General features: G+C 36.7%; 1 non-coding gene and 1 pseudogene across 2 annotated transcripts in view; both read right to left on the reverse strand.

The window, feature by feature from the left end:
- ANKRD20A21P (ankyrin repeat domain 20 family member A21, pseudogene) overlaps positions 1–24112 on the reverse strand; it is a 42705-nt pseudogene that overhangs the window by 15109 nt on the left and 3484 nt on the right. The window contains exons 2-7 of the transcript XR_002958558.2: positions 23559–23732; positions 18436–18573; positions 15759–15814; positions 9202–9232; positions 6464–6533; positions 2416–2497 (exon numbers count right to left, since the gene is read on the reverse strand). The product of XR_002958558.2 is annotated as an ankyrin repeat domain 20 family member A21, pseudogene (transcript). The remainder of the gene's footprint in view (positions 1–2415; positions 2498–6463; positions 6534–9201; positions 9233–15758; positions 15815–18435; positions 18574–23558; positions 23733–24112) is intronic.
- LOC124904986 (U6 spliceosomal RNA) lies at positions 16920–17026 on the reverse strand. Its single transcript, XR_007067773.1, has one exon. It is a non-coding gene; the product is annotated as a U6 spliceosomal RNA (small nuclear RNA).

The following is a 24112-nucleotide window of genomic DNA, read 5'->3' on the forward strand; positions in this document are numbered from 1 at the left end:
GGTGAATGTACAGAGTATTTTAACTCCACACACCAGAGGCATTGCTGCCAGCACAGCACAAATAAATTCCCCTTGTCTTGTCACTGAGGAAATACACAGTTGGGATGACAGTTCAGGTGAATGTGTGATTCACCTCTCATCAAAGAAAGGGTTCTACATTGATCAGCTAGGATACACACTTATGAAATAACAGCTAATCAAACTACTCATTTTTCCCATGATAACATGGGCTACTGCAGCACCTACATTTCTCCTATCCCCTCATTTGGCCTTGAGTTAGAGCTCCTTGATCCACTTATGCAAGGTGGTCCATAAAACACATCAAATAAACCATGTCGAATAAGCTTCTGATATCAAAATATTTATCAAAAAAGAAAACACTGAATGACCACAGACTTGCTGGATATGAATACATATTTATATTTCAAAATCAGTGCAGTATTTATTGAAAATGAGAATTTTGGTTTTCACAGAATGAATTTTATGATTATTTCTAAAATTAACTAAGTTTGGTATATTATCTTACACTGTAAAGGACTTTTATAAAACAGCTATCATATCAAAGAACTGGCTGTCTCAAAAAAAATTTGCCAAAGCATCTATATGCAACTTAATCACATCTTATTCACTCATGTCAGTGAAACTTCTCTCCCTGAGGCCTGACAGTTGTCAAGTAAATTGAGCTGCTGTGGTTTACCCCAACTCTAGCACTCTCTCCTGCCTCCAGTACTCTCCACAGCAATAACCTCTTTTGTGAGACTGGACATATGCTGAAGCAAATGGAAGTGAGCTGTCTCAAGTTTACTTGGCTTTAACTCCCAAGACCCCAGCAAATATCTTTCTTTCCTCCTTTTGTGTCCTTTCACAATCCCTCTTCCTTTGAAAAAATGATTATCAGAACTGTCATCCTGATGCTTCCCTTCCTAACTGCTTTTTATGGATGATTGTGACCACTTTTTTCATCTGTATTCAGCAGTAGTATACACCTGTAATCTCTCTTTTTTCATCTCATTTTCCTTCCCCTGTGGATAGAATCATGCTCAGAAATAAAAGGAAATTAAAGCTTTCCCTGGATTCTGTTATTTTTTAAATTGCTCTCCAGTGGTTCTTTTTCCAGATTTCTCTAAAGGAAGGCTATTCCCTTGCTATTCAGAGCTGTGTCCAAGGACCAGCACAAACATCACCTGAGTGCTCATGAGAAATGCAGACTCCCATACCTGCTGAGTCAGACTGTGCACTTTCCAGAAGCTCCTCAACTAATTCATGACAATTTGAATGCCCTGTTCTACACTGGTGTGCTTCCATATTGGTTTACCCTAATTGGCCTTTTTGGTCTAGCCTCAATTTCTTTCCTATTATGTCCCTGAATTTAATACTACATTATAAGCCATAATGTTTCTAATGAACTTTTAATCAGGCAAAGCTTCTCTAATTAATTTCTTCCCAATAAATCACCCAACACTATTCTTTTCAATTATGTTAATATGATACTATCCTATGAAGTTACAACATTTTCTATAAAAACAAATTATAGCCATACATGGCTGACCATTTACGGTGATGTTCATCTATGGTAGATAAAACACAGGTCTGCGTGGTAAAGTACCTCAATCCTTAATGCCTCCCCACTAGCGAGGATGACAGCAAGAGAAGGAAAATGTTACTGTAATTATATGACATATTTTGGTACTGGAAGCTCACTTTATCTTCCTTCCTATTTCTAACACCCTGTTCTTCCTTCTTCTACAGATCATTTTGACTTTACTACCCTCCATTACAGACATCCACTTTTTTTATTTATCCCATGTACACTCTGCCCTCCTCATTCTTTGTTTCTCTTTTATTCATTTCCTCTTCCCTCTCTCCTGACTTGCCTCAGGTCTTAGAGTATCTTAAAATGGAACTCATAACTCAGCTCCTTTAGTGGTACTTCAAATAGAATCAACTGCTGACCCTTGGTTAGAGACACCACTTATCACCATTTCACTTCTCCTTTACTTATTATACGGTTAGTCGGACATTTTCTTTAGCTATTAAACTCTATCAGTGCTCATATTTTAAAAGAAACATTCCATCAATGACTTTTTTTTTTTTTTGAGATGGAGTCTCACTCTGTCACCCAGGCTGGAGTGCAGTGGCACGATCTCCACTCACTGCAAGCTCCACCTCCCAGTTTCACACCATCCTGCTGCCTCAGCCTCCCGAGGAGCTGGGACTACAGGCACCCGCCACCATGCCCGGCTAATTTTTTGTGTTTATAGTAGAGATGGGGTTTCACCATGCTAACCAGGATGGTCTCGATCTCCTGACCTCATTACTGGCCCACCTCGGCCTCCCAAAGTGCTGGGAGTACAGGCGTGAGCCACCACGCCTGGCCTCCATCAAATGACTTTTTAAATAAAATACGGTTCTCACCTTCTCCTTTTCCATTGACTATTCTGTTTCCTTTTTCATGAGAAGGTCCACGTAAAGGCTCTGACACTTTCTCGGGGACACACTGCTAAGGTAATATCAAGAATTAGTTTCCATTTAAAATTATAATGAGTTGCATCAAGAGTTTCTTATCAATCTCTTTTTATGAAACTGAGTCTCACTCTGTCAACCCAGGGCTAGAATGCAGGGGCCTGATTATGGCTCACCGTGGTCTCAAACTCCTGACCTCAAGCAATCTTCCCACCTCAACTTCCTGAATAGCTGGAACTACAGGTGCATACCATCATGCCATGCTAATGTTTTTATTGTTATCTTTGTAGAGACAAGGCCTCATTATACTGCTCAGGCTGGTCTCAAGCTCCTGGGCTCAAGTCAATCTTCCACTTCTGCCTCCCAAAGTGTTGAGATAAGCAGTGTGCACCACCACACCCAGCCCTAATCAATTTCTTTAAATCAATCTCAATGTTGCCCAGGCATGGTGGCTCACACCTGTAATCTCAGCCCTTTGCAAGGCCAAGGTGGGTGGATTGCTTGAGTTCAGGAGTTTGAGACCAGCCTGGGCAGCATAATGAGAACACATCTCTACACAAAAATACCAAAAGGAGTCAGGCATGATGGTGTGTGCCTGTAGTCCCAGCTGCTTGGGAAGCTGATGTGGGAGGATCACTTGAGCCTGAGAGGTGGATACTGCAGTGAGCCAAGATCATGCCCCTACACTGCACATGGACAACAGAGCAAGACCCTGACTCCCCAAAAATTTCAATTTAAAATGTGAGAATGAAGAGAGATACAAACAAAAAACAAGCCTAATTGGTCAATGAAATATCAGCTTAAGCCAAGAAAGAAAACAAACAACATGAAGTACAATAAAGCACATGGGGAAATAGATCTATAACAGAGCCTTCGGTCTTTCATACCCCTGATAATACTAATTAATATTTATGCTGTAATTAGTTTTTTGTAAGTACTTCTGTGATAGCGTTTCTTACTATAAGACATTCAATTAGCTAAATATGGTCATCTACCACTACCTGAAAGAATATTATTATAACAGAAAGAGAAAACTGGAACTTTCCATCAACTTTCCACCCAGAAAAAGAATTGGTCACCAGAATTCTAAAGAGTAATGTATGGCAGACACATGAAAAAATACTCATCATCACTGGCCATCAGAGAAATGCAAATCGAAACCACAATGAGATATCATTTCACACCGGTTAGAACAGCAATCATTGAAAAGTCAGGAAACAACAGGTGCTGGAGAGGATGTGGAGAAATAGGAACACTTTTACACTGTTGGTGGGACGGTAAACTAGTTCAACCATTGTGGAAGACAGTGTGGAGATTCCTCAAGGATCAAGAATTAGAAATACCATTTGATCCAGCCATCCCATTACTGGGTATATACCCAAAGGATTATAAATCATGCTGCTATAAAGACACATGCACACGTATGTTTATTGCGGCACTATTCACAATAGTAAAGACTTGGAACCAACCCAAATGTACATCAATGATAGACTGGATTAAGAAAATATGGCACTTACACACCATGGAATACTATGCAGCATAAAAAATGATGAGTTCATGTCCTTTGTAGGGACATGGATGAAGCTGGAAACCATCATTCTGAGCAAACTGTTGCAAGGACAGAAAACCAAACACCACATGTTCTCACTCATAGGTGGGAACTGAACAATGAGAACACTTGGACACAAGATGGCAAACATCACACACCAGGGCCTCTCATGGGGTGGGCAGGAGGGGAGGGATAGCATTAGGAGACATACCTAATATAAATGACCAGTTAATGGGTGCAGTACACCAACATGGCACATGTATACGTATGTAAGAAACCTTCACCTTGTGCACATGTACCCTAGAACTTAAAGTATAATAATAATAATAAAGAGTAATGTATGGCTTGAAAAGGTATATTTAATAGAACATGAGTTGGGTCTAATAAAAAACTTAAGAAATGTTAATCTAAAATCTCAATGTTAAGATTCCAGTTGAATAATACTAGAAAATATATTGTAACCCTCTTTGCTACCAATGACCTATTTCTATTTTATTTTCTTTTTAATTATGGCATAATTTCTCAACATAACATATCAAAACTTATACACCCTTTAATATTAAAAAATAATACAATGTAAGCAATATTTTAAAAACGGTATTTAATTATTAGATACATTAGGTTTATTATATTACTTATAATATTCCATTATATAAAAATTCATTTGTCTATTTATTCAGATTAAACAACTATTAAAGCTGAATGTCTCATGCCTGTAACCCCAGCACTTTGAGAGGCTGAGGCGAGCAGAACACTTGAGCCCAACAGTTAAAGACCAGCCTGGGCAACAAGGCAAAACCCTGTCTCTATGAAACTCAGCCTAGCATGGAGACACAGGTCTATGGTGACATAGCTCTATTGTTTCAACTACTTGGATTGCTGAGGTGTGAGGATCACCTGAGCCCAGGAAATGGAGATCGGAGTGAGCCAATATCTCACCAGTGCCCTCCAGCCCGGGTGACAGAGTGAAACCCCATCCCCCAAAACAACAAATAAAATGCTTCTTACATGGAAGACTGTATTCTAGGTACTCCAGGATACACACAAATATGTTTACTGACCTCCAGTAGCTTATGGTATGCAGGAGCTTCCAATGATTATTTAAACAACTAAATAGAAAACTTTCTGACATTCAAAATTTCAGAATATGATATAAGGACTTTGAGTGGTTATTTTATTTTATTTTATTTTATTTTATTTTATTTTATTTTATTTTATTTTTTAAGATGTAGTCTTGCTCTGTCACCCAGGCTGCAGTGCAATGGTGCAATCTTGGCTCACTGCAACCTCCACCTCCTGAGTTCAAGCGATTCTCCTGCCTTGGCCTCCTGAGCAGCTGGGATTACAAGCATACACCATCATGTCTGGTTAATTTTTGTGCTTTTTATTTTTTTTTACAGACAGGGTTTCACCATGTTGGCCAGGTTGATCTTGAACTCCTGACCTCAGGTGATCTACCCACCTCAGCCTCCAAAAGTGCTGGGATTACAAGTGTGAGCCACCACACCTGGCCAAGTAAATATTTTAAATAAACTACAATGACAAAATTACGATGATAAAGTCTTACCATATTGGTATTAAGAGTCTCTGCTTCTAGAACTGGTTATTTGCAGCAAAATACATGTTATTCAATTAGATGACATGTTTTATATAAACTCTTCATGGACAACTCAAACCACACAAAAATCCCTTTGCAATACAAATCTTGAGAACATAAATTTAAATTTCTACATTTCCACAATTTATATTTTTCAATCAGATACAATATTGCCCAGGCTGTTCTCAAACTCCTGGGTTCAAGCAATCTTCCTGCCTCAAACTCCCAAGTAGCAGGGGCTACAGGGGTAGACCACCAAACTCAGCTGTTTTTCTACAATTTTTAATATTTTTTAGTCTCACTACAGAACCAATAATATAAGTAGAGAAACAATTTCTCCTAAAAACTATATCACACCAAAATAATAAGTTTCCAAGAACAAAAGCTATATGCTATGTGCTGAACATTTTTGCCACTAAAAATTACCAGAAGATTCCATGATTACTGCAAATAATTTGATCCACTGAAGATTTATACAAGCATAAATATTAAGAAAGTCACACTTGTATGATTTAAAAGTCAAAGTATTAGTATTTATCCATATAAACCTTAACCAAATTTCATATTTCCTCTACTGGAGAAAGAATTTCCTAATGTGATTTTCCTGCAACTACTTATTTTCCAGTTCATTTATTTTTCAGCTCCCACCCTGTCACAGTACTTATCAATCTCTGTTAGTTACCAAAGTTAAGCACATTTTTTGAATCAACTAGCCATATGTATGTTTTTCTCTGAGCAACTTTCCATTACCACCATAAAACAATTATAGGTGAACCACTGCTAAATTTGAAAAGTAAACACTTGCAAAACTACATTCAGAGTGAGAAAATTAATTTTACAAGAGACCACTTTACCTTAGTAGCAACACTCAAGTCTTCATCATCCAATGCAGGCAATAAATCCACACACAGTTCATGCAAAATGCTTGAGAGCAAAAATACACAATGAAAATGAGCAAGTTGATTTCTTTACAATTTTTTTAACTGCCGGTTTATATCCAGCTTCCCCCTCAAAAAAAGGAAAACATAATCTGGGGAAAGGTCAGTGATCTATATATTAAATTATGATTCTTGATATAATTAAAATATGTCCTCTGTTCTAAAAATAGATTCTATTTACCTACTTCTGTCTCCACCTGTCTAAATCTATAAAATATTCAATGAAAACTAACCTTGAGCTTTATAACAAATAGTGACAGTCAATACATTGGCAGAGCCTGACAATACTTTGCCCTCACAAATTATCTGTTCTGAAGCTGAACTTAAAATTCAATCAGTGGATGACATAAATTTTGTTATCTAAACTGGAAGAAAACTGATGACCTAAAACAAGTTAGAAAGATCCACTGTCTCTTTCCCATGATCTGTCTCTGGATAAAAGACTAATCTGCATCACTTCACAATGGCAGTCTTGATTCCTCGGCATGGATCCAACTTAGGAAGGTCCTATTGCTTTCCTTTGCCCTAAATCGGTACAGGAAAGCCCCTACAATATTTGAAATGTATGAAAGCCAAATGTACAGAAGTCAAATAACAAAGGTGTATGTTCTTATTGAGAATACTTTTCCCAGAAAGATTAAAATATTAACAATTATAAAATCCCATTATTTTCACTCTATAGGTCCTACCTTATTCAGGTCCACATAAACTAGCAAGCCCTTAAAAATTTTCATAGGTACTCAGACACCCAAGGAGAGAGACTGCCAGAAAAAAACCGAGTCCTCATAGTTGTACCTCTATTTCCCTAAGTATTATCTAAGCATCTTTCTTCCTATGGGCTCCCACTTCCAGATTCCACTTCCACAGGGCTCCACGGAAGTCTCCAATCTTCAAATCTTCAGTCTATGAAACCACAGATTCCTGAAAGGATGGCCTCAAATAACCAGGAGTAGGAGCTCTCTATATCCCTGCTCTTGAAAAACAAGCTAACTGGAGTCTCCATCACCTGCCCCCAGCTATACACACTACCAACTACACAATTGAACTCCATGACTGATTTGCCAGCTAATCATGCCCCTGACCCAGCCCACATGGACATGGGAAGGACATCAGTGAACTGGGAAAACAGGAAGAAGTGAGGAGACACCTACCCTGTGCCACATGTCTATGTAGTTCAGCAATTTCCAGCCCCTTAGTACTCCAGGGGCTCTAAGCCACCCTTTTGTAAGTCAGGATGGAAGTAGATGACACCTCATTTGTATCTGCTGTAGACACTCCTCCCAGTGTCTCAAAATGTTTTAACATCTTTCAGTAAAAATCTTCAAGTTTGTCAGTCGTTGATTTAAAAAAAAGCAGCAAACTTTTTAGAGCTCCCTTGAACCTTCTATTTTAATGTGCCTTTGTAGATAATTCCCAATATCTTGTGTCCTTCATTTTTATAATTTATCTTTATCAAACTTGTCATAAACCCCAATACTTTGATCTCTTATAGAAGAGTCCGTACTCCTATCCAATCCAGTGCTGTTTATCTTCAAACTTGGACTTCCCCAGCTCATTCCATTCTTATCTACTTCCATTGTGTTCACCAGCTAATTCCATTCTCATTCTATCTACAGACTCACTCCCGTTTGTATTATTAAAACACATGCCAATAGTATACAAAAAGAAGCAAGAGTACTGGGCTTTAACATGAGTTCAAATCTCATTTCTGCCAATTCCTATGTCTAAAAAAAAGCATCCTAATCTCTTTGAGCTTCACATCCTCTATCTAGAGAATCACTTGACCAGAGTTCAACACAGGTAAAAATACTAGAAAGTATTTTAATTCATTCCAAGATTCCTTAAAATCCTGTAATTCTGTGTCCTCTTGATTCTGTCTATAGAAAAACTTGGAATACATAGGCAGCAGAGTTTGAAAAAATAATAGAACAAAAGAAACACCAAGAAAAGCAGAGAAGAAAGTTTTAAAAAATGAAGACAAGGTTATAGAAAAGTCATGGAAAAAGCAACAAGACTAAAAAATGTATTATGGAAGTAAGCAGAAATACTAGCCTAAATGGAAAACCAAACTGGGAAGTCAAATAATTTGTCTCTAAGACTTGCCTAAACTTGCTGTGGTAAAACTTACAGTCCTATGGCCAAAGCTAAGTCAGATCTGCCCTAGAGCCTTTGATGGTAAAAATAAGATACTGGCTACCACTGAAATTGTCAAATTTATTAGGACTAACCACATTCTAGCAATAAACTTAAATGAGAGTTCAAGGTATTTAAACTCTCATTAACTTAGACATTAATCAGATTAATGAATCTGATTAATCTGATTCAGACCTATAACTTGATCCAAGGGCTGCACAGATATCTATCTATGCTGAGGAGCAAGAGAAAGGATTTGGAAGGCAGGCAGGCTAATGGTCAAACTGTAGGCCAGCTACTTTTTTAACTATGGGATCATGAGGCAATTAATCAGCTCTAATCCATAGTTGTTTATTTAATAGTAGGTTATAGGAACACAGATGTTATGATGGCTTTATGAGATGATAAATGAATAGAACATATTAGGATGTCTAGCCAAGAATACAACACTCAATAGATATTGGTTTCTTCCATCTATATTTTCTTAGTTAACATAATTTTTTAAATCTATGAAATCTTACCTGACTGCAGATTCATCAGAAATTCCAACATCTATTAAAGAAAAAGGTAAAATGCATTTTAAATCAACAATAAATGTACAGAATATTAAAAGCATAAGAATGCACAGTGACGCATGCCTCTAATCAAAACTACTTGAGAGGATGAGGCAGGAGGATCACTTGAGGAGCCCAGAAGTTTGAGACCAACTTGGGAAACATAGTAAGACTCTACCTTCATAAAAAAATTGTGTACACTTGTGTGTATGCTTTAGATCCTGTTTTTTGTTGTTGTTGTTGTTGTTTTTGTTTTGGTTTGGTTTGGTTTTTTAAAGCATAAGACTGATGCTTTGTTACAGAGCATTCCTTTGGGAGCATGCCTGGGACCTTATTAGAATTAACATTCATCATACTTATTGGTAGGTAATTAATGCAGTAAGAACTCTTCCCTTTGTATTTATTAGATGCAAAGAAGAATACATTTATTAAAACTTGGTATCTACAAGTGAACTGCAGTATACAAGTCATCCTAGTCAAACCCTATGAGATTGAGTAAAAATGGTATTGTTAGCAGAACAGGTATGATGAGTCAACAGTGTCAAAGAGCATGATTTCTGGAACAAAATATGAGGGGCCATTAAAACAGAGTATACAATAGTACCCCTTATCCACTATATGCACAGAAAGACATACTTGACAAGTTTTTCTCTGCTGTCACACCACAGCAACAATCATCAGCAAAGAAGGCTTCTGTGACCAAATGTGTGGAGAGTTTTTCCCCACCAACAAGTAAGTAATCATTCCTGCTGATGACACAATTCAATTCTCACACCCTATCTACAGATAACATCAGATTTAATTTAATTTATAAATTAAAGTTTATCATAGATATGTATGTATAGGGAAAAACAATTTGTGATTCAGTACTATTCATGGTTTCATGCATCCACTGGGGGTCTTGGAATGTATCTCCCACAGTTAAGGGGGAGCTACTGCACTTATTTTGTTATAACACAATACAGCCTCTCTAGTTCTTCAGTTCAAACTGTTTAGTTTAGAATAAGACACGCTATCACCAGAAACCAGCAAAACATAGGACTCAGACCAGAAACAGGAATCCTTGCAAAGACTTTCTAGCCACCAGCGGAGAAGACCTCAAGAGATATCAGTGTGTTACTCTGGCTAATACTCTTCTGGGGAAGGTGCTGGGTGGTTTCCTTAGTTGTAGCTATTTGCTCTGGCCTACGTATAACAAGGCCCAAATTCACCTGCCATTTTACCTCCCACAGAAAGAACCACTGGAAAGATCACTCCTTTAAGAGCTTATCCACATTCAGAGAGAAGCTGAAGAAACACTGGGGAGGTGTGGCAGGCTGCCGGGCAGTATTATCTGATGTGAAAAAATATATAGAAAGAAAACTATCAATGCCCTTTTACTATCAGAACGTTCTAATGCTTGCCATTCTCCCTAGTAGGAGAAAAATATTTTTCACCTCACATAAAGCAAAACTCCCTTGTCATCCCTCACAACAGAATCTAGTTGTAGGTGAATCATGTCATCATAATACACGCTGTTGTCAACCTCATCCCTCAAAGGAAGAGGATCAGTGAGGAACTTATGTATTTACCTAATAGCATTCACTGCCTGGTCTTATTTCCAATCAAAGATAAGTATGAAAGACTTTGTGATTCCAGTTTTATAAAGTACAACCCTTTGCACTTGTCCCCTTCCATTGCTAGAGAGTCTATCTGGACCCACCTCACAGAGCAAGATGCTCCAGGTTGTGCTGTGTGGTACGGCGTGGTGTCCTTTTCCTCAACCCTTTCTATTATGTTCCACATATATATACTAATCATGTTTTCTAAGTATGTAAAGCATATCTCATCATAATATACCATTCTTTACAATGATAAAGAAGCAAAAGAAAAACAAAAGGACAAAGAACATCTTAAATGACTACATTCAACTGCCATGGAGCTTTAATTTTCTAACTATTCAAAAAGATATCCACTCTTCTTATTCCAACTATATGACTCTTCTGAAAAAAGTAAAACTATGAAGACAGAGTAAACATCAATGGTTGCCACGAGTTGCTAGGGAGAAAGGGAGAGATGAAAAGGCATAGCATAGAGAATTTTTAGGGCAGTGAAACTGTTCTGTCGATAATATTACAGTAATAGATACATGTCATGTCATTATACATTTGTCCAAATTGACAGAATGTACAGCATCAAGAGTGAAGCCTGATGTAAACTATGAAATTTGAGTGATTATAACGTGTCAATGTAAGTTCATCAGTTGTAACAAATGTACCACTCTCTGGTGGAAAATACTAATAATGGGGGAGGCTATGCGTGTGTGGGAGGCATGGGATATATGAGAAATCTCTGTACCTTCCTCTCAATTTTGCTGTGAACCTAAAACTGCTCTAAGAAATAAGGTTATTGATTTAAAAAAAATATTCAGCTGGGCTCAGTGGCTCATGCCTGTAATCTCAGCACTTTGGGAGACAAAGGTGAGTGGATCACCTGAGGTCAGGAGTTCAAGACCAGCCTGGCCAACATGGCAAAACCTCATCTCTAATAAAAATACAAAAATTAGCTGGGCATGGTGGCTGGCACCTGTAATTTCAGCTACTCAGGAGGCCAAGGCAGGAGAATCGCTTGAGCCTAGAAGGCAGAGGTTGCAGTTAACCAAGATCACACCACTGCACTGCAGTCTGGGAGACAGAGTGAGACTCCATCTCAAAAAACAAAAAAGATATTCACTGTCTATGCATCCCAGGATCTCCAGAACAACAATTAAAATAAATAAGTAAAAAAGATGGCTGGGGGCAGTGGCTCATGCCTGTAATCCCAGCACTTTGAGAGGCCAAGGTGGGTGGATCACCTGAGGTCAGGAGTTCGAGACCAGTCTGACTAACATGGTGAAACCTCATCTCTACTAAATACAAAAAAATAGCTGGGCATGATGATGCATGCCTGTAGTTCCAGGTACCTGGGAAGCTGAGGCAGGAGAATCATTTGAACCTGGGAGGTGGAGGTTGCAATGAACCAAGATTGTGTCATTGCACTGCAGCCTGGTCAACAAGAGCAAAACTCTGTCTCAAAAAAAATAAGTAAATAAAATAAAAAATAAAGATATTCACTGAACCTGTTACTATGATATATTTAAGCAAGACAGGGTGAACCTAAAAATTAGAGATCATTGAAGACCAAAGTAACAACATGTGGTCATTATTTCTCAAATTGAAGTACATAAAATATATAAAATAAATAAATTTAATTGCATGCTTAGGTAAGAAAATATTGATAAAAATGATTGAATATTTTTATCTTATTTCATAATTCTAAGCAGGGATTTATCACAATATGAAAACTAGATTATTCATGTAATCAAAATAAAAGACAATTTTTATTCTAATTTTAACTCAGAAAATATTTTGCTTATTTAACAATTTTACTGAAAGGTAAACGAGTTAAATAGGACAGATTATAATTACCTAACATTGCTATGGTAACTTATGTACAAATAGCTGTTCGTCACTGAAAGTAAAAAAAGTAACCAGCACTGAAACTTAAGATGGATCATACAACAGAAATTAGTACCAAGTTACCTTATCTTATAATATTATGTTATTAAAATGAAATTTTAAAACAACACCAAAAATTAAGTTGGGGCTATACAAAGTGTGCAGAAAAGATTTCATATAACAGGCAAGAGAATTCCATCCTTAGAAAGGCCTGCATGCAAGGCTGGCCCTTGGCTGGTGTTTAGGAAATTGGAATTAGGAGGGTTTCCACCATTCCCTGAGAAGAGTGGCTCACTGTGTCTAAAGTGTTTATAGAAACAGTGTGTTTTCTCTGAACAGCTGCTTTCCTTGTAAGAGTCTGGAATTTGGGTACATGAGAGGGAGAGTAACCTCCATAGAAAAACTTGGGCACTTAGTCTCTAATGAGACTCTAGTACTGGTAGACATCGCTGCACATATGTTGTCAAAATGTGAGCCTGGGAGAATTAAGCAGATCCTGGGAACTCCACAGGACAGAACTCCTGGAGGCTTGTGCCTCGTTTCCTCCAGAATTGACCACATGCACTTTTTCCTCTACTAATTTTGCTTGTCCCTTTTCTTGTTATCAATTAAAGATCTGAGTATGACTATTTGCTGAGTCCTGTGAGTCCTTCTAATGAACCAACAAACCTGGGGTGGTCTTGGGAAACCTTGACACAAATGCATTGTGTAAGATTTGTATTAAGTTGACATGATATATGTAACTGTAATCAGATGGTTATTTCACAGAATAACTTTCCCTAATCTGTTTTTCTTTTCTTTTTTGCCCTTGATATTTGACTTGGAGATTCTTGTATTTCTATATCTATCCAATTGAATAAAACCATAAAAGGAATAAATGAAACAATAATGTCGGAAAATAATGTGAAATAAGCAGCAATCCTCTTTTAACCGAACAAAAAATAGAGAATCTGGGTGATTGACAATATGTTCTACAATATGAATGTTTTTAGAAAAAAAAAATGAAAAAATAGTCAATTTTCTGCAACTCAACTGGGCTTTATTCCTTTTTATAATAATTGTGCAGGCCAGGTGCAGTGGCTCACACTTGTAAATCCGAGCATTTTGGGAGGTTGAGGCAGGAGGATCACTTGAACCCAGAAGTTCCAGACCAGCCTCGGCAATATAGTGACACCTCACCTATTAAACAAACAAATAAACAAACACCCTTAAAAAGAAAATTAGCCAAGTGTGGTAGTGCATGCCTGTAGTCCCAGCTACTTGGGAGGCTAAGGTGAAAGGATCATTTAAGTACAAGGATGCAGAAGTTGCAGTGAGCCAAGAAGGCACCACTGCATGCCAATACTGGAAACAGAGGGAGACCCTGTATCAAAAATAAATAAACAAATAAATAATTGTGTATCAGGCCAGATGTAACCACACAAAACTGTAGTCCCAGCTACTCAGGAGGATGAGGTAGGAGGACTGCTTGAGCCCAGGAGTTCAAGGCTATAGTGAGCTATGATTGCACCAATGAATAGACACTGTATTCTAGCCCAGGCAACATAGAGAGACCCCCATCTCCTATGATAATAATAATTGATTAATTGTGCATCATTCAAGTAAATTGTATAACTGGAGAAAAACCTATGACTATCGAGTATACTATTATAGTCTACTACTGACCATAGAGTTCCCGTTTACTTGCTTCTAATCTTTTTCTTCGTTTCTTATAAAACTAAAAACATGATTTAAACCCATTAAAGGCAGTTCATTGCAAAACAAGTCAAAAAGTCAAAAGAATTGCATCCAAACAGTAGGAAGTGTTATCCACCGCTTTCTGTGAACAGTTGGACTTGGTCCTTAAGAATCAGCAGGACTTTTAACTTTGTGTCTGTGTGCACACGTGTGTGCACATGTGCGTGTGTGTATGTGTACGTATGTGAACTATGACAGATAAAATCATTTTGCTTGTGTAAGAATATGTAATATAACTTGTGCTTCTCACAAAGGAATTGCTTTTCCATCTTCTGTGTTCAGTTGCTATCTTGAAAAAATAATCTCCTATTTGTATGGGTGCCCGCTGGTTCAGTTCTACAGTTCTTATTGCCATTTATTTATGGTACCAGAAAGGGATTGCTGAGTTCCTGGTTCTAAACATAGTTACTTTCTTAGTGACACAAATCAATATGTAATACAGTTCACCCTTGAACAGCAAGGGTTTCAACTGCAGGGATTCACTTATATGCAGATTTTCTTCTGCCTCTGCAATGCAGAGACAGCAAGATCCACCTCTCCTCTTCCTCCTCAGCCTAATCAACCTGAAGATCATAAAGACCTTTGCCAGGATCTACTAATGCTTTATGAAAAGTCAATATGTTTTTCCTGATGACTTCCTTTCTAACAGCTTCATTTCTCTAGCTTATTTTATTGTACAAACACAGTATATAATAATGCAGCACAAACAAAATAGTTGTTCATCAACCTTTTATGTTATCAGGAAGGCTTCCAGTCAATGGTGGGCTATTAGTAGCTAAGGTGAAGGAATCAAAAGTTATACTCAGATTTTCAACAGCACAGGGATCAGGGTCCTTCACCCCCACATTATTCATGGGTCAACTCTAGTTATTTGTTTACTAAATGTAAACAATTTATTATAAAAATGAAATAGAAGATCCATTTGTATAACAAGTCCCATTTGTTATAATGTGACTATAGAGGAAACATACAACATACTAACTTAAACATCTTTTTTCTTATTTATGCAAAAATATTATGTAGGATTTTATGGATCATAATTAAATAAATGAATGTTTTTAGACAATAATATTTGAGATTATAAATTAGCTACAACTACCTTCTTAAATAAATCTGAATTTCAAACTAAAGAAGTTAAATTTAAAAAATTAATTTACATATGTATATACATATATACACATTCAATTTACACATATTGTTAAACTGGTCTTTTTTGACTGACACTACCGTAATCTTACATCTTACTTCTTATTTTCTTATCAAGAGTAGGACCACCAAGAGAAGTAAGAAATTCACTATCAGAAGCCTTACCTGGTTTGTCCTTTTTAAGTATCTTATTTTTATGTTCCAAAATTTGTTGTTGAATTCTAAGTATACAAAAGTAATAAATAAAATTGCTATTTTAATACTGAAATAAAAAATATTTACCAAACATATTAAATTCCAAAACCATTTCAGACAATATCAGACCTAATATCAGAATTTTAAGGTCCCATACACTTCAAATTTTTAAACCTTACAAGCTTATTAAGCTTATAATTAAAGAAGAAAAGAAAGCGAAGTGCCCATAAATGGAGGAAGCACAGCTCAGTAAATTAACTCTAGTTAGCTGGATATCACGCAAAGTGTCCTGCACTCACAGTAAGTCCTCACTCTGTAACCAAAATACCTCGTTATGTAGGTATTTTGTTTTCAGACAAGTTGCTTCTCTTAGGCTCCGTGGTTTCTTCTAAAAAATAAGGATTCTGCTACCTTACTTCACTAGGTTGTTTAGAAGATGTAATGAGATTACATGTTTAAATGTTCAGAGAAATAGTAAAGCAATGGAATAATTTATTCTTGAACCTTATTGCTGAAACCATTTTGGAATCCCAAATAATGCTCGGTGTGTGTTTTTCTATAAGTTCTAATATTCAAATGTTACAGTTTTCAGAAAATGTTATTAAGTGCTAATTTTGGTTATTACTTGCATTCATTGTGGCTTGTAATTCAGGGCATTTTACCTAATTCATAACTTATTACTAAATTTATATACATATATAAATTTAGTGAGCTCATCACTGAGCTCATCAATCACACCAAGGGCAGAAAACTAATAGGTGTCAAAACCTGGCTTGGACAACTACCACTCCTTCTCTACCTCCTCAAACTCTGAGCCAGCAGATCTGTGCTTGGCTGCTGGATCTCCATGGTCCTCTCCAACTAACACACAAGAAGAAACCCTGCTATGATTGTTTTTCAGTTCCATGAAGGAAATGCAAGTTGACATTTTCTCATTTCCAAGACACGTACTAGCAACATGTAACATCCCCTTATTACTCAGCTCTGTTCCCATTTCAGAGATCACCGTACATCAATAGTTTCACAGTGATAATCACAATTTCAATATTGCGTGTCACCTGTTTTGGTTTTGCTCACACTGCTTCCTTGGAGCTACTCAACAAATAGTCAAATGGCCTTCCTGGGACTATGCAAAATATGGAATTCTTTCTGAATTTGCGTGCCATTCTTAGGCAGTAGCCATGCTTATCTGCTCTGTATTGATCCAATTTTAAAATATGTGCTGTTGAAATAAGTACAAAGCCCTGTTTGATACATGGATACTCATGAGTCATGGATGAAGCTTAGCTCTGTTAAATCCAACTCACTTACTTCAGATTCAGAGAATTTTATTGAATGGCTTCCTGTGAGGAGGTAGAATTTTAAAATATATTGAAAACTTGAGGAAGAGCTGCAAGTAGCCCAGGAGATTTTCATGATTATAGAGACACATTAATTGAGGGGCCAACTGCAAGCTGGTTCCCACTACTCAGTGGAAAGATAACATGGAACATTCTGCTATCTAACCAAAGCTGCTTCACAGGATATAAAAAAGCCTCAAGGTACAGATCTGATAGCAAAAGGGAAAGGGAACTCTGATCTCTTCCTGTAACATTATTTGAACATCCCTGACTATTGAGAACAATCCCAACTAATATTGGTTAAAGGAAAGACAAGCATGGCTCTCAAAGGATAACATACCATGAAGGCCTAGGCAAAGTCTAGCTAAGAGGCAGGCTCCATATAAGGTTTTTAGTGTAAGATGAGCATCAACTTGCTCAATATTTGTGTGGATAAAGCTAGGAGGCCTAGCTGCCAGAGCACGGTGCTGGGAACAATGACTGAGCACAAGTACATAAACTATTAAACACCGTAGCTTTGAACTGTATATATGAATCACCATGAAAACTGAGAGGTCTGAATCAGTGAAGGCATCCTAGTGGCAAAGATCAATCATTAACAGATTGCAGGACCGGTTACAATGGCAATAATACAGCAAGTGAGGCCATGGAAATAACAGAATGATTAGAATGCCCTTTTTTCCCCTTCTTCTGACTTGTAAAGAAAGATTGCCTTCCTTGGACTTAGGAAACCCCTTAGCTTCTTGGAAAATTCAAAGAAGGAAGGCACAGGAGAGAGCCCCGGGGACAATACAAGATTTTCTGCTAAATTGGACATTACAAGACTCAATAACTAATTAGAAAAGTCAGGCCAGTCATGGTGGCTAGCACTTTCAGAGGCCGAAGCAGGGGGATTACTTGAGCTCAGGAGTTCAAGACCAGCCAGGGAAACAGAGTGAGACCTTGCCTCTACAAAAAAAAAAAAAAAAAAAAAAAAAAAAAAAAAAGAAAAAAAGGAAAGGAAAGGAAAATAAATCAAAGATGTGGCTCTTTTTATCCCATGCATGGGGATTATACTTAGAATAAAATGAACAACATTGAGATCCCTAGGGATAAAGGTCTCAAAAATCCAGAAAAAATCTTGCACTCTACTTCTAGCTAATCTAGACTTCTGCTTGATTTCTGGCTAAAAGGTAGACTAACTCATGGCTATTTCAAACTATCTGAACCAAACTATGAACTCTCACCTAATGTATATAAGATGGAGTAGTTGCAATTATTTTAAACTTCAATTTAGTATTAACTGGATTTTTAACATAAACACTTACTTTGTCAAATGATGAGAAATAGCGTAATCTTCTGCATCTCGTCCACATATGTCTTTAGCGAAGACATCAATATTTTGCTTAAGAAGGATATTTACAATACCTGGTGAGTCATAGTGTATAGCAAGCAAGAGGGCTGACCTAAAATAACAAAGAAATAACTCCACTCAAGAACTTTAATAAAGACTTTTTTAAAAAGCTAGTTCGATACACTTTACCAATTTAATATCTGCCTGTCAGTGTAGACGTAATAACCATTTGTATGTACTAGCTTTGGTCTATAAGCATCTAGGGTGCTCAAGTGTTCATCTTTGTAAATTGTCACCAAGGCTAAAAGAAAGGGACAACAGGGAAGCCTCTTGTCCCGCTGGGGTAAGACATAATACAAGTTGTCAACTTATAGTCCTTTGATGGCCAAGAAACTGTGCTGAGGTCACTTATCTAAAGTAGGCAAAGATTTAGATGAAGATTCCCCCATTGCTTTCCTAGTTAAATCAGCTAGGGGTCAGATAAGAGTTATCTGCAGGCTGAAAACAACAACAACAACAATGACAATAATAATAATAATAATGACAATACTAGTAGTCATAAACTAAAAGTCCACACTTTAAAAATTAATAAAACTGGTCAGGTGCAGTGGCTCATGCCTGTAATACCAGCACTTTGGGAAGCCAAGGAGAGCAGATCACGAGGTTAAGAAATCGAGACCATCCTGGCCAACATGGTGAAATCCCATCTCTACTAAAAATACAAAAATTAGCTGGGCATGGTGGCGTGCACCTGTAGTCCCAGCTACTTGGGAGGCTGAGGCAGGAGAATCGCTTGAACCTGGGAGGTGGAGGATGCAGTGAGCCGAGATCACACCACCTCACTCCAGCCTGGTAACAGAGCGAGACTCTATCTCAAAAACAAAAAAATTAATAAAGCTAATACAAAACGCTTTAGCTAATAAAAGATTACAGTATCAAAAGCATCTGATTATAAATACCAAACACTCTATATTATAAGAGAAGATGAATCCTACTATATACTATTCTTTATGTTACTCAGTCCAAATATTTGCTGGTCTACCTGATTATTCATGGTGATATTTTTCATTATATGCCAATAATTATGTTAATCTTCTTATTAATATTTCTGACTTGAGTGACTGTTACCACTCTAGAATACTCAGGTTTTATTTTTAAAAAAAGAACAACTGTACTGTCTCAGCCTATCAACAGCATGTGTACTTGCTTTGGTTTTCAATAAAAGTTCCACCATTTTCTCTTTCTTGCAAATTATGACAAATAAAAGTGGGGTATTATTGTCCTATGAAACAGCAGAAAAAAATTAATAATTCACAAAATTACATATTTCTCAACTAAACTGAAAATCTTCTCTGGGATGCTTTGAACTTCAACATACAATATAGAAAGGAAGTAAATGAAAAGCAGTCCCTTCCTTCTCACTCCTCTGTGCTTTCTGATGTGCTGCGCTTTGCCTTGCAACAACCCTCCTCTGTCTCCCCGGATTAACTGTGGTCATTGCCAAAACTCACTTTAAACGTTTACTAGTCCCAAGAATCCTTGCTTTGATCACAGCACTTAGCATGGTACATTGTAATCATTTCACTGTTTCCCACTGAAACCAAGAGCTTCTTGAGGCAAGGGCTGTATCTTTTGTCTCTATAGCTCCAAAACCCGAAGACATAGTAGCAAACATTTTAAGTTTTTTACATAAATTAATGATCTAAATTATTCTCACTAAAGCAGTGTTTCTTAAACTATATTCCAAAGAATATTTGCTTTACCAGAAGTATTATACCCAAAGAGAAAGACTCCATGACCATCTGCATTTGAGAAGTATTATAAAACTGTATGTTATGTCCAATAATCAAGAAATCTCTTGAATTTTACCTAATCCCCATTTCACAGTACTATTTGTGGCAAACATTAACATTTGAGGAATTAAGAGTTTTAGGGGTACAGTTGCCAGAGCTTCCCAATGCCGGTGGAGGTTTCTTCTGGGTGGTACAAACTTGCTTGATTCACTTCTATCAATGCTGTCAGGATCCCAGATGACAATGTCAGGCACTCCTGCTCCAAATGGGTCACTATGGAAATGAGCTCTGAATTAAGAGAGATTGGCTTCAAATGCACTTATTTTCCTTATTATTAAATAGTCCATGGGTTTTTTCCCTAATACAAGAGAATAGATTTTTATCTTTACTGTTAGAAAGCTCAGTATGTTCTGTGTAAGAGAAATAGGTTTAAAAAACTTAAGAACAAATATTTAAAAAACCAAAGCTCAGTAAGAAATACTATTCTCAATTTTAATGGTAATCCCAGGACCCCAGGGCAGCTCTACCTTTTAAATCCATTTTTATTGGCTTCCACTTAAAGGGCTACTTAAAATTATTTTTTATTTTAGACAAAATATAAATCAGAAATAAAAACATAATGGCTTATCAATAAAAGTTCTCATACTGATCCATATGAATTATTTCTGGCATAATAAAAGCCAGTAAGTCACTGGCATTTCTAAGGAAGAGCACTGATGAGAAAGATGTAATGTCTGCAATATTCATAAATTATCCAACTATAACCAGGAATAACCTAAAAAGGCTTCTAGACATTCTTATGGGCAGATAATTATTTGTGGTATATATAAAGAAAAGAGTTTCAAAAACTTCTAAATTCTAAAATTCAACTCCATAACTGAGGGATTTACATACTCTATAGACTATATATTATAACAAATACATGCTGACTTAAAAACCTTGAAATCTTTATCAAAATATACTATAACATAGGAGTTGTAAACTCAGATACTTACAAGGACAAAGGAAGGTTGCCTGAGTAAAGGAAGTACTAAGGTGGGCACAGTAGCAAACTGGAGAATACATGCCTTCTCTAAAGGGGCAACCTCTGCACAGCAGACCAAACAGTGATAGAAACTCAGGGGACACCAGATTTGATTTTTTAGAATAAGCCTGAAGTCCAGATATCTACACCAGTCTTCTAAATTTTACATGCTGATTCAACTTATAGAGGAAAACAAACAAATCTGTGTACCACATTAGAATATAGCCCTTGTGTTTTTATATTCACTATTAATGTGTTACTAAATGGTTGTGTATAATCCAAGTATTTGCATGTAAAATACTTTCTTTCTCTAGTATCATATGTTTTACCAAAAAATCAGGCTCTCATATATAATAAAAATTGCCAAAAAAGACTCATAATACCTACTTAAAAAATTTTTCCAACATTTATTCATTTAAAATATATTTGTATATAATTTTCCCAGATTGTTAACCAAATAGATAATTGGTTCATAGGACTGTTAAAACTAAATTATTAAAAGAATTCATATCTGTATTTTTATTAACTCCATGGACTTCAATGTTTAAAACTGACATTTTGGGTATGCTAAAGCTCTATAAACTTAACAAACATACTGAGCTAGTTCATAATAAAACTTCAACTAAACGAATAGTTTAGGATTTGCTACTATTCTAATTGAGAAAGCCCAAATTGTAATGAACATTTGTTGACACATAATCACGTGCATGGTGACAAAGGGACATCAAATCATGAAAGAGCCAGCCTCTGCTTATTGAATGATTACCCATAAGCAAATTTCTAAAGACTCTCTGAATGTTAGTGAAGGATTCATGGTGGGAAGGAAAAGGTGCTATTCTGTAAACTGAGAGATATTGCCAGTAATATTTCCTTTCACTTCCCAGTCACAGATGTAGAGAAAGACAGATAAGTCAGGCTAATATTACTGAAAAGGAGAACTTTGAAGGAAGTAGCACCTATCGAATGCCAATTCTTCTAGAGATTTCTTACGTTTTTGAGATACAGAAATTCATATGTTGCACTTATCTATTCTGGGGTTCTTAATCAGGACTGTATCCGAAACTTGAGGGTTTTTTTTTTTTTTTTTTTTTTTTTTTTTTTTTTTTTTTTTTGCTGTTATTGTTGTTAGAGGCAAGAGTCTCATTATGTTGCTCAAGCTGAACTTAAACTCAGGCTCAAGCTGGGACTACAGGAACATGTCACTGTGCCCAGCTTCAAGAAAACATTTTTTAAAATGTTCAGGCCTTATTAGGTCTATTACATCAAAATCCTCAGGGGAAAGCCTACAATTGTAGATTTTTAACAAAATGTCATCAGGTCACTGTAATGCACAATTCTGAGAATTGGTGCAGCAATCACTTCAGTCTCATCTCTCACCCGCATGGCTAATTCCCTTTATCAGTTGGACATGTGGCCAAAAAGAGAAAAGAGTAAGAGATAGTGTCATTTATTAAAATTCCAATTAAGTTTCCTGGGTATGGGTAGAACACAGACAAATAAACTCAAAATCCCACTTGATTTTGCTATTTACAAGCTCCTTATCTCCCACCTTCCCACCAAGACATTCTAGGTTTGAGAGGAGGCTTTAGACTCTTATCTAAGTGGCTGTTTCTGCCAGAATGGGCAATAAGTCAGTTAATAATTTGTCCTACCTTCTGCTGAAGTTTTTCTCACTTCATCACCACCTATTCACTGCCAAACTGGTTCCCTCAGAGTCTTCCTGAAATTAATCTCTAGGCAAGTTTCAACTCATTCTTTTTCAAACCAAAAATTATTAGACCCAAAGCTAAAGAGCACCTTATCTCAACACATAAACTGGAAGAACAACAAACTAAAAAAAAAAAAACAAAAAAAACTCTTCTTGTCGTTTTCCCTCATTACCTAATTTCCAAGTGACCTACATATTTCTCATTGCTCTCCTTTTCCCTACCCATTTTTCCCTCTTAAGGCTTGTGCCACTGAGAGATGATACATCAGTTTTTCAGAAAATTATCAGCAGCAGCAACATGTCCATTTATTGTAAGTTGCTTTAGTTTTGTTTGAGTTTTAAGATAAAGCCTAGTTCCAGGGCATGTTTTCTTTCCTGTGTTGTTTTACACCAATTCGAGGGGAAAAAAAGGAAAGAATAACCCTGCATAGAAAAAAAAATTGAAAAGGTTTTACCTTTAACATATTCACAAATATTCAGGGAATGGTTGAGCTTCCAAATATAAAAAATTGACCCTTACCTATGTCAATGTTAAAACAAATATTTTGGAAAGAAAGTTGATTGATCTATACCTTGTCCAGTGCTTCAATATTTGCACCATGGAAAAGCAGTTTTTCTGCCAGTGAGGTGCTCTCACTATACACAGCATACTGGAGAGCAGTGTTGCGGTAGATATCCTTAAGGTTTGGATTGGTGCCATGTTCCAGCAGAATAACGGCGCAAGCCTCTTCCTGGCAATGGACAGCCTGTCCGTATTAGACCAAGAAATAGATTGTAAATTCTAAGAAATTCAAAATAAACATTCCACAGGTTTCACCAACTAGTTGTATTTAAATGAGATCAATTTATTTCAATTCTATGTATGCAAATCAAATCCATGTCATGCTAAAAGAGTTGGCTCTAATATACCTGTATCAAAAGCATTCTATTTTCTTTGTCACAGATATCAATCTGGCATTTTCTGCTAACCAGGAGAGTGACCACTTTCACATGGCCACTGGCACAGGCCAAATGTAGAGCAGTTCTACGAGAGTAAGAGGACTTTTTAGGAAACTGTAGTGCAACATCTCAAAACATACAATCATTCATGTAACTATAAAAATTGAAGAGCATGTTTTTCCTCTGC

Source organism: Homo sapiens, chromosome 20 (genome assembly GCF_000001405.40).
Source record: "Homo sapiens chromosome 20, GRCh38.p14 Primary Assembly".
Classification (NCBI taxonomy): Eukaryota; Metazoa; Chordata; class Mammalia; order Primates; family Hominidae; genus Homo; species Homo sapiens.